The sequence below is a fragment of the Homo sapiens genome, chromosome 6, assembly GCF_000001405.40.
Source record: "Homo sapiens chromosome 6, GRCh38.p14 Primary Assembly".
NCBI lineage: Eukaryota > Metazoa > Chordata > Mammalia > Primates > Hominidae > Homo > Homo sapiens.
The window spans coordinates 122771881-122787331 of record NC_000006.12 but is presented as its reverse complement, the minus strand read 5'-3'; the positions used below and the strand labels follow the sequence as shown (position 1 = coordinate 122787331).

Sequence of the window (15451 nt, the reverse complement as noted above, 5' to 3'; positions counted from 1 at the left end):
GTCTAGATCGAACCAATGTAAAAATCTTACATGTATTGATTGCTGTATCATGTCTCCCTAAAATGTATAAAAGCAAGCTGTATCCTGACCACCTTGGGCACATGTCAAGACCTCCTGAGGCTGTGTCACTGGCCCATCCTTAACCTTGGCAAAATAAACTTCCTAAATTGATTGAGACCTGTCTCAGGTACTTTTGTGTTACAGTTTCAAGTCCTGCCAGGGCAGCCGAAGTCCTGCTTCAGCTTTTGGATGATTCAAAAGCTTGCAAGAACCAAAGTGCATTCCAGTGGAGGACAAGATGGTCCCTGGAGTTTCTCAGTTCACAACCTCTAGAATATGGGAGAAAATGGAGCCAGAAAAAACTGGTGAGCTGGTGAGAGAAAACGACTGTAAGGATTAACAAAACAACTTAGGAGTTTTTAGTCCAAACATTTAAAGCTAGGAAAAGGATAAATTATAAAAATAGCTCTTTTCACTCCTTTTTTTTTTTTTTCCAATTTCAATATACTTTACTGGAAGTAACTGGTTGCAAAATAGTTTTTCAGTAAGCATAAAACAAGGCATACACATTTTGAAACTTAAGAAATGTTTGAAATCCTAAAAAGTACAGTATATTAAAATTAGTGGGTAGAAACACCATCCTTCTTTCTACTCACTCCACTTTCTTTTTTTTTTTCTTAATACTCACTAAGAAGCAAAAAACTACAGTGCCCCAACATCTCTACAGGCATATCTCAACCATGGGCATATATTTGTAGGTCTCCATGTGCCAGGTGTACAAATATGTCATCGTGAGTGTGTATATCTGGGTGAGGGAAATCACATGAAAGAAGAGCAGAAGCTTCACAAAACAGCCTTAGCTTAGTTTGTATCATTGAGACCTTCGTATCATTTCAGAAATGTTCTTCCAGGGCCTGTTGGTCAAATTGCCTTTGGTCTTGGTCATTTTTCCTTTCCTTTAATTATGTTTCTTAACTATGTTAAGAAACAAAACAAAGACGGCAAACCAGAAAAGTTAGTGCATTGACAGATTGACAGTGTGAAATAGAATTTGGTTTGAAGAAAAATGATTTGCGACTACCCAGAAAAACTTAGGAAGCAAACATGTTAATTATCTTCCCTCTTAAAATCATTTGTTCTACCACTGCAACCCTTGATCTTTCAGACCATTGCATCTTTGTTTCCCATTTAGGCCACCCAAAAACCTTTTCATTCTTCACTCTGGGAGACAGTTGTTATGGAAACTGGTGCCAGTGTTATTTGGCTTCATTTTAATGAGCTAAAGATAAATCTCTATCTTTGGCTTTGTATCTTTAATAAGAGAGAGGCCAGAATCTGGGCTTCTGGTAGAGTGTAGGCTGAAATCCAGTTGTTAAACAGCCCTCCACCAGAAGCAGAGATGGTGGCTGTCAGAACAGTTGGAGCCAACAACCTGTTCATGTTGTGTTTCATGCTTTTAAAGACGGGTAAACTGAGTGCAGTGGTATGTGCCAGTAGTCCCAGCTATTCAGGAGGCTGAAGTAGGAGGATTGCTTGAGCACAGGAGTTTGAGACTAGATTGGGCAGCTAAGCAAGACCCCATCTCTTAGGAAAAAAAAAAAAAAGAAAATTTTCTCATACTTATAGCTGTAAGTTAATTGAACATTTTTTTTTCTTTTGAGACAGAGTCTCTCTCTGTCACCCAGGCTGTAGTGCAATGACACAGTCTTGCCTCACTTTAACCTCCACCTCCCGGCTCAAGCAATTCTTCTAACTCAGCCTCCTGAGTAGCCGGGATTACAGAAATGCACCATCACACCTGGCTAATTTTTGTATTTTTAGTAGAGACAGGGTTTTGCCATGTTGGTCAGGCTGGTCTTGAACTCTTGGCCTCACGTGATCCACCTGCCTCAGCTTCCCAAAGTGCTGGTGCTGGGATTACAGGTGTGAGCTGCTGTGCCTGGCCAGTTAATTGAACTTTGAATTAATTTATAAAAACTTACTAAAACACAGGGCTGATTAAAAATGAATACAGTATTACATATAAGTGCTGAAATATATTTACCTCCCTAGCCTCCCAAGAGGCTAACAAAGAAAAGGAATGATCGGGGAGAATAAAATCTTGTGTTTTTGTTTCAGAAGAAAAGTTAGCTGAAATATTAATTTTGGAGAGGAAATAAAGAGAAATATTGCAAGATTTCCAGCTCTCAATATTATTTACTACACATGAGAACTTGGACATGCAAATCTAACCTTCAATTTCCTTATTGGTAAAGTAAAAATAAATAATACCTGCCTTCTTGCTAAACATTGTATGGTTGAGAAAATGTATAAAAAGCATTTTGTAAATGATGAAATATGTAAAATATTTGTTTGTTTGTATTTCACAAATTCAGACCCCAGCCAGATACAAACAAGTATTTAATTTGGTTTGGTCAACTCAATCACCTTCCCTTTCTTCTCCCCGCCCCGCTCCACCACCCCGAAATTTTGAGTGTCTTTATGCACAGCACTCCATTTGCACTCTCATTGACTTTATCCAACTCAGTTTAGTTGTCTGGAGAAACATTTTTTATAATCCAGGATAAAATTCACTCCCTTTCTCTATTGCCTTTCAATAAGAAATTTTGATTACATGATATTTTGATTATATTTACCTTTTAATAAGACATTTTGATATACATCATTTTGTTTCTTCAAACCGTTTCTTCTAAAGACACTACTTCCACCGGGCGCAGTGGCTCATGCCTGTAATCCCAGCACTTTGGGAGGCCGAGGCGGGTGGATCACCTGAAGTCAGAAGTTCAAGACCAGCCTGGTCAACACGGTGAAACCCCATCTCTAAAAAATACAAAAATTAGCCAGGCATGGTGGTGGGCACCTGTAATCCCAGCTACTCAGGAGGCTGAGGCAGGAGAATTGCTTGAACCCGGGAGACAGAGTTCGCATGACTGCACTCCAGCCTGGGCAACAAGACTGAAACTTTGTCTCAAAAAAAGGAAAAAACGACACCACTTCCGTAGCCCAACCCACTATACAAGGCTTCTCTGGGTCCTGGCCAAATGAATTTTACCATCACAGATTCTTCATGGAAGGCTCAACCAAAACTGTGGCATTTCTGTATTTTCTAAGGCTTTTGCTTATTTTTTAAATTAGTATTTTAAACAAAGTGCTAATTTTTTCAGCCTTACTTTATGCTATAAGAGTGACTATTTTACTTAAAATTGTCTAATATAGAATTCTTAGCCAGATTAATGATATTAGAAACAACAACAAAATTTCACGTGTAAGATTTTTATTCAAATTTGATTTACATTCCAAAAGAAATTATAAAATGTATTCACTTGTTTATAAAAAAAAGGGGGGGGGGGACAAAACTTTAATTCAAATTATAAAACATGATAAATTTTCAGATTAAAATTGGGCAAGTTGCTTGGAGTAACAAGTTTTTAAATCACCATTTTCCACCTCCACACCAAGGATAACCTTCTAATTAATGATCAGCCATGTTGTAATAGGATAGCACTGAGACTTGAGGAAACAGAAAAACTGAAGAGCTCTTCCAAGCCCCGACCAGGAACATTTTTATGCCTTCTCATAGTGGCGAACAGCAACCACATCACCAAAAGTAAGGGTCTGCAAGGTTCAAAAGATAATCAAATCTTTTTATACAGGAACTTCAGTCACCGAATTTTAAAGATCATCATATATGTGATCTAAGTATTATGCAAAAGAATGACATTTACAAACATTAAATGCTGCATAAGCATTTCACATCTTGAAAAGAGACCCTATATTGATATACAGTTTATGTCTCTGAAATGAGAATGAAGCAAACACTGGGATTAGCACTTTAGATTCAAGTCAAAAGAATTTCTTTAGCCTTAAATTATCAGGGTAATTGAGCAGATCAGGTGTGAGAAATGGAGTGTCTACGTTGTTTTCTCAACTATCTGCTTTAAAAGTGAATGAGTTTTATAATAGGTTTACATAACAGTTTTCAATTCTTAACCTAGATAAATTTTGAATAGCCATTAGAAAATCCAGTCATTTGAGCTGATGGTATTTGGAATGACTTGTTCCAAAATCAAGAGGAACATGTAAAGGTACAAATATTCTCCTTGTTTTGGTTGTCATGGTTTAGCCTATGTGAACGCAGGTAGGTAGGTGGATAGGATGCGGAACATCAGCTCTATTACTCTAATGTCAAATCTAACTTGAAGAGTTATTATAAAACCACTTTACAGAACTTAGGGGGTTTTGGTGCTCATGGTTTTCATGTATTGATGTGATGTTCAGGAGTATAGTATATCCTTGTAGTCTATTGCTTTAGTCTTCCTTTTTGAACTCAATCTTGCCTGATCATAGTCATGCATGCCACGGTTGAGCTATCTACTTTTCTGTGTTCTGGGAAAAAATGGAGGTAAAAGCATAAAGGAGAACTTCAGAGCGAATCTTTTAGAAATGAGTCCTTTCTTTTATTGATTGTTGCCAAAAAAATGTGAGCAAATATCCTTTAACATGAAAGGAAAACTGTCCCTCTGCTCCCCACCTCCATCTCCACAGAAACATGAATATCTCAATGCAGAACAGTGCTGATTGCAGTAGTCAAGGGGAGAAGGAAACATGAGTCCCCATTCTTAAACAACAAAACTTTCTCTGCTGTCATCGTACAAGGACTATGTAAAGCATTCTCACACCCTCCTCCAAAATTGAATGAGCCTACCCACCTATGTCAGTATCATCAATATACCATTGCAGGTCACACAAAAAGTGTCTGAGGAAGGCTTGGTGAAGGCATAATATTTCTCCTAGTTTGTGATACTACTCCATCATTAGATAAATTATTTGTTAATTATTTTATATTTGATCAATTTAGGACAAAAACAGAGGAAAAAGTCTTGTAAAGATGGAGTCAGAAATGGATCAGAGTAATAACAACTGTAAGCCCAACAACCTCAATGATTGCCAGGAGCCATCCGGGAAGTAGGAAGAAGCAAGGGAGGGGGCCCGCAGAAGGATGGCAACACTAGGGTCGCCTTGATCTCAGGCGTCCAGCTTTCAGAACTGAGAAAATTCATTTCTGTTGTTTTAAGCCACCAAGTTTGTGGTACTTTGTTGTGGCAGCCTTAGGACACTAATAAATCCTCTTTTACAGATAATTCCTAGTAAGTAAGAAGAGGCTGATTGAAAAAAATATTTTTCATGTCTACCTAGTATTGAATATATATGTTTAAAAGGCATATTATGCATTCGAGAAAAAAACTGGAAAGAAGTAACATCAAAATGGTTCTCTTTGGGGGCTGGGAGCCTTGGCTCAGGCCTGTAATCCCAGCACTCTGGGAGGCCGAGGCAGCAGGCGGGAGCATCACTTTGAGCTCAAGAGCTGTAGGCCAGCCTGGGCAACATGGCGAAATCCCATCTCTACAAAAATACAAAAAAATTAGCCCGGCGTTGGTGGCTTGCACCTGTGGTCCCAGCTACTTAGGAGGCTGAGGTTGTAGAATCGCTTGAGCCCATGAAGCAGAGGTTGCAGTGAGCCAAGAATGCACCCCCTGCACTCCAGTCTGGGTGACACAGCAAGACTTTATCTCAAAAAAAAAAAAAAAAAAGGGTTATCACTGATGAGAAATCAGAGGGGATTTTAATTTTTTTGTTATACTTTTCTGTTATATTCTAAATTATCTGCCCAGAACTTGTGTAACTTTATAAATTAAAATATAAACTGTTTAAAGATCTCTTATTACAGGAGCTATAAAGTCATCTGTCTGAGATTCTCTTATAATAGCAATTATCTTTATATATTTCAGTGATTATGGGCTTTATATTAAATTTTATTTGAGAGACATCCATAGTTATCCTACAAAAAATCTTTTGACACAGTTTTAGGCAAATCAATGGCAACTTTTATTTTTTTAACTACACATGAATTTTTCTCTTTTTCTACAATCAAAGAAGTTGAGCTGAAGAAGAAAATTAACTGGGATCTTTTTGTTTCCCCTGTTTTACATATAGTTAAAGAACCTTGCCAGTGATGTATTATTAAAGAAGGAAGGAAGGAGGAAGAATGGAAGGAGGAGGGAAGAAGAAGGAAGGAGGTGAGAGGTGTGCGGAGAGGAGAAAAAAACAAGGAAGAATGGAGAATTGTCATTACTTACCATAACCATTTTGCCATCCTTAATTTCTCTTACAAAATTTGTTTCTTTGCCATCCCATTTCTGTATGTGAACAAGTTTGTCTCCATCCAGGCTAACAACAGACTGAGACCAACAACAAAATGCAGAACATAGCAATAAATACAATTCAGATTTCTGATACGGAAGACGATGTGATTTTTGAAAGAGTTGTATAATTGAATAAATCATGATCAGTTAATTATCCTATTGTTATTTCTATTACTTCTAGATTTTCTATTATGTAAATTTGAATTCATAATTTGATTAAAAAGTATACATCTAAATACAAAAATTTAATATATTAAAAACAAAAATCCTAAACCAGTGCTTTGCAGCTAGTCGTCCCTCTAAAGAAAGCCTTAGAATGAGGCAAACTGTCTATTTAGTCAATCTGAGGCAACCTGGGGAATTAAACAAAATGCAATCTCTCTTTCAAACAAACCTTATTAAATATTTTCTGAAATACAAGTTTGATATAAAATGTGAACAGTATATGGTAAGAGACAAATACAACTGAGATTTATGCTATAGCAAGTACCCATTGTTCAAAATATAACATATGCACATTAAACTAACTTTGGTGTATTTCTCCTTGGATTGAAATACTGAAAATATTCTACACTTTCCAACATCTTAAAAAAAACATGCATTGGAAATCTTTATCTTTATTCCCCTCTCCCCATCCCCACTCTGAAGAAGAAGCAGTTTCTCACCTTACAGTTTCTATCATCTGCAGTGGTTTCATCAAACTCTTCTCCCAGCTGGAAACTAATCTCCGTGTTCTTGAATGTGCTGAGAGTCCTGATGACCACTTTGTCTCCTTCTTGACTGATAATTACCGTTGGTTTGGTCACATTTCCCACCTGCCTAGTGGCAAAGCCCACGCCTAAAATAGCAAAGGGAACAGTACAGTCTGCAGCGACTTCCAAAATAACTCACAAAGCAAGAATCTGCTTTCTGATTCTGGAATCCACGTTCTAAAGTGTAAGTTTCATTAGAACATGATTAGCCCATTAATCATGTAAAACACTACTGTGATAATAAGTGGATGCAGAAGAAAACCAAAAAAGTCAGAGAAGCTTCATATTCTCCACGGAATAGCAAATGTTCTGTTTTTATTGGCCCTGGGTAAGAAGGCAAGCAAGTGCCACATTAAAAATCCATTCAGTGGAAAATGCATAGCCTAGCATCTGATCAGGGCAATGTGATCTGTCTTTGCCTCTTGCTGACCTGATGAGTGAAAAATGGAATCTGCAAATATCTAAAGCTGCACGTTGAGAAGAGAACAGCCGGTCTTATTGTTACCTACCTAGAGCCTTCATGTACTCATCAAAGTTCTGACTGTTGGTCAGCTTCCAGGTAGCACAGAAAGCCTCCACCATCCTTGCCCTTTCCCCTCTTTAGAGACAGGAGCGGGGATCTTCTGGTCTAATTGCCACTGCAGCTCAGAAGACCCTTTACACCTCAGCAAGCAGCTCCTGCCTTCTTATTTGGAAAGAGGGTGGGCAAAAATCCAGTGATTTAAATTGCAAACACACCCCTCCAGTGTCCCTCTTTCCAAGAGGCTGTCACAGAGAGAGGAGAAGGGAAGGAGCGCTCGAGTGAGGCTCCAATCCTCTTTGTGATTGGCTCAGGCCACTGGGTTAGCGGAGTAGGTCGAGTTCCTCCCAATCCTCACACTACAGCCCTTATGCCTGAGAAAGCTCGGCAGGGATTCAATGGGGCTGGAGGCAGGGAACGGGAAAATGAGAGAAGGGCTTTCAGGTTCGGTGAGAAAAAACTTGGCAAAGGCAATCTCAGACTGCAAGGAAAGAAAAAAGATGCACAATGGGGCATTCAGATTGATTTCCGTTAATGACAAAGCTGGTCACAAATGAGGACCCCCCTTAAAGAAAACCACTGAAATGCCAGACTTTGCAGACAAAGGAGAGTGAATAGTGTGTGTTATTTTCTCTCATAGTTACAGGGAGAGCGAAATGCAGGCTAGAGTAGGCCAAACTGAAAAAGAGGGCGGGGAGGAGGTGTAAATGCCTTCCCTGGATATACTGCTTGAAGGCTACTCTGACTGTCAATGAGGAAGCACACTAATTTGGGTCCTTTCCCAACACAAACCGAGAGAATTTAAAGATCCCGTTGTCCTTTCTAAAAATGTGAGAACGAGACTGAGTTGGAAAAGGGACCTAAGGAAGAGTATGGTTAGGACTTACTAATGAGGTACAAAAATAAATAAAAGAATGCTTTTCCCCCCGATCTCCTTGAATAGATTATAGAACCCATGTGGAAAAACTGGACAGAAGATTATTTAGTAAGACTTTAAATTACCTGCATTCTAGGACCTTTTGATTTCCTGAGGCCACATCTACACAAATACAATCTGTGTACATTTGTTGGGAGTTAGTGATGGGGAAGGGCAGGAACTGGAGGAGCGGTAGGAATCAGAAGGGCTTTGGTTTCAGTTTGCCCTGGCTCAGGGTTCCCCAAGAATGGCAAATACCTTGAGGGTTCTAAGTAGAGTATTTAAAGGAAGTCTCTGAAATTCCCCTTCACCCAAAGAGATTCCTTCCTGACTTACTAGTGCTGACCAGCAATGAAAGCAGCTTACCTGCCTCTCCTGGGGACAGAGCAGGAGAATCCGACTTGATATTCCCTGCCCTTCTCTCTCCCCTCCCAATTAAACTGCAGCCCAGCACATTTCTACCCAATCCACACCAGATCCAACAGAGAAGGCTCAGAAGGCCTCCTACGCTAGGTGGCGGCTACATGATTCTTCTTCGGTGTCTCAAGTGCGCTTGTTTAACAAAAACTGTAGTCTTCCTTCACAACTGCTTTTCTTCCAATTTTCACTTTATTTGTGACTGATACCACCATGCACCCAACTGTACAAGCCAGAAACCTCTGAATCATTTCTAATACTTTACCACTAAAATCAAACTTAATGTCAAGGCCTATCTCTTTTGCTTTGCTAACAGAAAAACCAAACTCTGTAAAATGTTTTACAGAAGTTTACTCTGAACCAATATGAGCAACTGAGGCCCAGGGAAAACACAAACCCAAGAAGCCTTGGGAAAGTGGTCCCAAGGTGGTCAGATTACAGTTTGGTTTTATACATTTTAGGGAGCCAAGAAGTACAGTCAAAAACGTAAATCAATACATGGAAGGCATACATTGGTTCAGCTCAAAAAGCTGGGATATCTTGAAGCTGAGGGCTTACAGCTTATAGATGAATTCAGAGATTCTTTAATTTGCACTTGGTTAAAGGAATAAGGCTCTGTCTAAAACTTGGAGTGCACATAAAAAAATTATATTTATTTATTTATTTATTTATTTATTTTTGGAGAAAGGGTCTTGCTCTCTCACCCAGGCTGGAGTGCAGTGGCGCGATCTCAGCCCACTGCAACCTCCACGACTCAAGTGATCCTCCCACATCAGCCCTCTGAGTAGTTGGGACAACAGACATGTACCATTATGCCTGGCTATTTTTTTGTACTTTTAGTAGAGTCAAGGTCTTGCCATGTTGCCCAGGCTGGACATAAATGTTTTATATTAACAAAAGGATGCTCTGTGGCAAGATGAATGGCCTAATTCTTGCCTTGCATTACCTTAGATCTTGTTTATAGTTTGGTGTCTTATTGACACAAAGAGTCTGTTTTGTCAGTTTTATAATCTCTATTTTAACATGAATGCCTGTCAGTTGTGTCTAAACTCCAAAAAGTCAGAAGTATGTCCGACTTCCCTTCCTTTTATGGCCAGGAATTCAGGTTTTAAGGGTTTTTTTGAGGCGGGCATCCCTTGGCCAAAAGGGGGTCTGCTCAGTATGTGGGGGTGCTTAGGATTTTATTTCCAGTTTACAGCTAAAATTCCGATGACTGTTTCATCTAGGCAAACTATTTCTCTAGTAAATGTTCTCAAACAGTTGTTTTGTTACAAATTATTGCTATATGTTTCATCTAATAAAACACGTTTAAAGTGGTAGGATGTGTAAGTATTTTTCTAAAATATAATAAATCATTTTCCTTTTGTATTCTAAGAACATAAAATTGTTGAGAGCAGGAACCATGTATTAGATATCTTCATCTTAGCCCTTTATAGATCACAAGTGCTGAAATATTTGTGCATACCCATTTATTTCTTCCACTCTCTAGATAAAGAATATGAGATGGTGACATATTTATTCGTAGAGCATATATTCCATTAATTCTGATTCCTTTAAACCTTATCAAAAACATGAAAGCCCCACAATTTAGAGGCAGGTTTTTTTGGTTGCATATTAATCTTGTAATAGGCAGAAAAGAATACATGTTGCCATACAGATATCTGTACCAGAAATTTTAGAAAAAGTCAAGTGACTATTTTTTAATTAATCATGTATGGATACATAATAGTTGTGCATATTTATCAGGTACATACGATATTTGGATGCAAACATTACATGAGTAATGATTGAATCTGGGTAATTATGATATTTATCACCTCATTGGTCATTTCTTTTTGTTGGGAACATTCTAAATATTCTTTTCTAGCTATTTTGAAAAATGCTATGAATTATTGTTAACTATAGTAAACCTGTTGTGGTATCAAAGGCTAGAATTTATTCATTCCACCTAACTGTGTTTTTCTACCCATTAACCATTCCCTCTTCATCCCATGTTCCTGACTACACTTCCCAGCCTCTTGTAACCACCATTCTATTCACTACTTTCATGAGATTGATTTTTTTTGGCTCCCACATATGAGTTAAAAAGTGATATTTCTCTTTCTCTGCATGGCTTATTTCGTTTAATATCCTCCAGCTCCATCCATGTTGTGGCAAATGATAAGATTTCCTTCCTTTTTTATGGCTGAATAATATTTCATTATGTATACATACCACATTTTCTTTATCCATTCATCCATTGATGAACACAGGTTGATTCCAAATCTTGTCTATTGTAACTAGTGCTGTAATAAACATGGAAGCACAGATAACTCTTTGATATACTGATTTTCTTTCTTTTGGATATATACACTGCAATGGGATTATTGCATCATATGGTAGTTCTATTTTAAGTTTTTTGAGGAATCTCCATACTGTTTTCCATAGTGGCTGATCTACATTCCCAACAACAGTGTATAAGCATTGCCCCTTTATCAACATTCTTACTGTCTTTTTGATAATAGCCATTTTAACTGGGATGAGGTGATATCTCATTGTGGTTTTGGTTTGTATTTCCCTAATAATTAGTGGTGTTGAGTATTTTTCATATGCCTGTTGTCCATTCTTATCTCTTCTTTGAGAAATGTCTATTCAGATCTTTGCTAATTTTCAATCAGATAATTTGTTTTTTGTTTGTTTGTTTGTTTGTTTGTTTTTTGCTATTCAATCATTTGAATCTCTTACGTCTTCCCTTGCTGGATGGATAGCTTCCAAATATTTTCTTCCATTCTGTAGGTTTTCTCTCCGCTTTGTTTAGTATTTTTTTGTTTGTTTTTTTTGTTGTTGTTGTTGTTGTGAAGAGGTTTTCAACTTGATATAGTCCTATTTGTCCATTTTTGCTTTGGTTGCCTGTGCATTTGAGGTCTTACTAAAAAATCTGTATCAAACCAATGTCCTGAAGTATTTCACCAATGTTTTCTGGTAGTAGTTTCATAGTTTCAGGTCTTATATATAAGTCTATGATTCATTTTAATTGGATTTTCACACACAGTGAGAGATAGGGGTCTAGTTTCATTATTCTGCATGTGGTTATCCAGTTTTTCCAACACCATTTGTTGAAGTGACCGTCCTTTCCACAGTGTATATTCTTGGCACCTTTGTTGAAAATAAGTTGTCTGTAAATATAAAAACTTTTTCTGTGTACTCTATTCAGTTCTATTGGTCTATGTGTCTGTTTTTATGCCAGTACTATGCACTTTTTGTTACTATAGCTTTTTAGTATCTTTTGAAGTCAGGTAATGTGATGCTTCCATGTGTTCTTTTTGCTTTGTTCTTTTTACTTAGGATAACTTTGGCTATTTGGAGTCTTTTGTAATTCTATATGAATTTTAGGATTTATTTTTCTGTGAAGAATGTCATTGGTATTTTAATAGAGAGTGCATTAAATCTGTAGATCATTTTGGGTAATATGAACAATTTAACAATATTATTTTTCTAATTCATGAACATGCAATATCTTTCCTTTTTGTGTGTTTTTTTTCATTTTATTTCATTAGTATTTTATAGTTTTCATTGTAGAGATCCTTCACTTTTTTGGTTAAGTGTATTCCTAGGTATTTGTTTATCGTAGCTATTATAGATGGGATTGCCTTCTTGATATCTTTTTTAGATTGTTCATTGTTGGCATATAGAAATGCTACTGATTTTTGTACGTTGATTTAGTATCCTACAACTTTGCTGAATTTATCAATTCTAACCTTTTTTTTTTTTTTGGAAGAGTCTTTAGGTTTTTCTAAATATGAGATCATGTCATCAGCAAACAATAACAATTTGACTTCTTCCTTTGCAGTGTGGATGCCCTTTATTTCTTTCTCTTGTCTAATTGCCCTGGCTAGGACTTCCAATACCATGTTGAATAAAAGCCACTCGACTGTTCTATAACTCCATATACTGACATTTTTGACTTATTTTACATTATTCAGAATATAATGGCTGTATACCTAAGAATGGTTGCTTTCAAATAGTAGCTTATTTGCTCTGATTATTGAAGAATTTAATAGAAGATAAAGTGAAAAAGCAGAGACTGTGTTGTGCTAAGGATTTAACATTTAACAAATCTTTTTACAAGCTTTCTTTTCCTTTCTCTCTCTCTCTGTCTTTTTTTTTTTTTTTTTTTTTTTTTTTGACAGAGTCTATCTCTGTCACCCAGGCTGGAGTGCAGTGGCCTGATCTGGGCTCACTGCAATCTCCACCTTTCAGGTTCAAGCAATTCTCCTGCCTCAGACACCAGAGTAGCTGGAATTACAGGCATGCACCACCACGCCCAGCTAATTTTTGTATTTTTAGTAGAGATGGTGTTTTACCATATTGGCTAGGCTGGTCTCGAACCCCTGACCTCACGTGATCCACCCTCCTGGGCCTCCCAAAGTGCTGAGATTATAGGTGTGAGCCACTGCTCCTGGCTTTTTCCAAGCTTTCTAAACCTGGGAGCAATTTATGACTTTGCTGTGGCTTTTATCATACAAACGCATCTACAGTCTCATAAGGGAAAGATTATGACAGATTGACTCCTCACTCAGAGTTGTTACCTTTATTTATTAACTAGTGGCACTAATGGTAAAGAATTCATTATAAAGACCTGTTTGTTTGTTTTTTTTAAAAAGTAGTGAAATAAAAGAAAGAAAGATAAGTTGCTTTAGGAGATCCTGGCAGAATCTTCACATGACGCTGAATCTCCTGGCCTTGCTTTACAACAATTTTTCCTTTTTAACAAAATAGAAGGTGTTAATAAAGTTTTAACATTGTTTTGAGCAAAGTAAGTTAACCAAGGTTATGACATTATTTCTTGTAAGATATCCAAGGTTATGCAGCAACAAAAATTAAATAACAAAGTATTTGCTGCTTGAGGTTCTCTTTCTTACCAAATTACAAAGAATAAAATAGTAATTGAATATCTCTGTAGCTGGAAAGGAAATGTAATTACACAATAAAAGCACCATTGGCCCACAGTCTCTCCCATAATAGGTAATGCTGGGCAAGGTGTCAGAGCCCTGGCATCAGAAAGTGGTCAACTCAAGGGTTGGCAAAAAGAATTTACAGGTGACAGTATAGATTTAAAAAAGAAAGTTTTATTAGATAGAAAGAATGCTCCAGAAGAGTGCAGTGGGCACCTCACTAAAAGAGGACTGAGTGCGCAGCAGTGGATTTTTCCTTAGGAGTATTTATGGTCCTTAAAGGAGGAACTTAAGGGTAATTTAGATCATATCAGCCACTTAGGTCATGATAAATGATTACATTTGTAGACATTTTGGCGCCTTAATGTCAGCAAGGGTTGCATAATAAGTTTTGATTCGCATGTATTCTGGAGATATATAGAAATTCTAGTTACTTACAAATTTTGGGGAAAGAAACCTGCAACCAGATGCCTGCCTTAGATAATAGGGAAATCTGATTACTTCTGAATTCCTCTGATAAAGAGTTTTGCCTCTGGATGATCTGCTTGATGGCCACCAGGTGATCTTTGCTCTCCTCAGGAAGATCAGACAAACTGGTTTTGCTGAAGCAATGGTACAGACATTCCCTAGGGGCTTACCTGTCTGTTCATGTGTACACATTTTATCATGCCTACCCTCACCAATAAACCAGCTAAGCCAGCTCCTGCCCAGGAAGGATGAGGATTCCAATCTTCAAGCAAGGGCTAAATGCAATATCAGTAATGGAATTTGATGGTGTGAAGAGGTGTGGGGGTAGGAAAAAATGAGTGAATTATCTGTCTATTGGTGATATGTAACTTTTATCTTATTGCATTTTAGAAAGTATAGACTTGGCCGGGCATGGTGGCTCATGCCCGTAATCCCAGCACTTTGAGAGGCAGAGGTGGGCAGATCAGTTGAGCTCAGGAGTTCAAGACCAGCCTGGGCAACATGATGAAATCCCTTCTCTACTGAAAGTACAAAAATTAGCTGGGATGTGGTGGCACATGCCTGTAGTCCTAATTACTCAGGTGGCTGAGGCATGAGAATTGCTTGAACCCAGGAGGTGGAAGTTGCAGTGAGCTGATTGTGCCACTGCAGTCCAGCCTGAGCAATATAGACTAGGTCAGAGGGAGATAAATCTCCAGGTATGGCATGCCCTTGAAAAGAAGCATTTTGGAGAAATGTCCTTCTCATTTCTCTACTATTTTCTGCAGTTTTTTCTCCTTTTACCTCCCATTATTTAAATATTCCATTCTTAGCCTGCTTCTAGATCTGACATAGTGACTGAGGAGAGAACTTTTTGCATATTTTGGGTTTATTATTAAAAAGTCCCAGGACCTTCCTTCTGCTCGGGTCATTCATATGCAACAACTCGGCCAAGAAAACTCTTCTCTCCAGCCTCCTGGTTAATTTCACTTTTAGGGTTTAGTTCAATTAATATTTCCTCAAGGAAAACTGGGTCAAAACCCCATGGTTATGTCATCCTATGGTTTCATTTATGTATTACACATATATAATAATTTCAATTACTTTTGTAATCAGTCATTTAGTATCTTTCTCCTACCTTAAGAACACAAGTTCCTTGAAACATCTATTTTATTATGCATTGTGCTCTACGACCATCGTCTAGCATAGTATCAAGTCCACTTGATATGTGCTCCACAAATGTCAAACATATGAACAAATAT

General features: G+C 37.7%; 1 protein-coding gene across 4 annotated transcripts in view; it reads right to left on the bottom strand.

Annotated features, from left to right (window-relative positions):
- The window catches only part of FABP7 (fatty acid binding protein 7), a 34874-nt gene continuing 22680 nt past the window's right edge, over positions 3258 to 15451 (bottom strand). The window contains exons 1-4 of one of the 4 annotated variants that reach the window (NM_001446.5): positions 7465 to 7616; positions 6869 to 7041; positions 6138 to 6239; positions 3258 to 3615 (exon numbers count right to left, since the gene is read on the bottom strand). In NM_001446.5, coding sequence (NP_001437.1) covers positions 3565 to 3615; positions 6138 to 6239; positions 6869 to 7041; positions 7465 to 7537 — 399 coding nt within the window. In that variant the 5' untranslated portion in view covers positions 7538 to 7616 and the 3' untranslated portion in view covers positions 3258 to 3564. Of the gene's footprint in view, positions 7042 to 7464; positions 7617 to 15451 lie in introns of those variants that run through there. The other 3 variants (NM_001319042.2, NM_001319039.2, NM_001319041.2) reach the window with 3 other exon arrangements.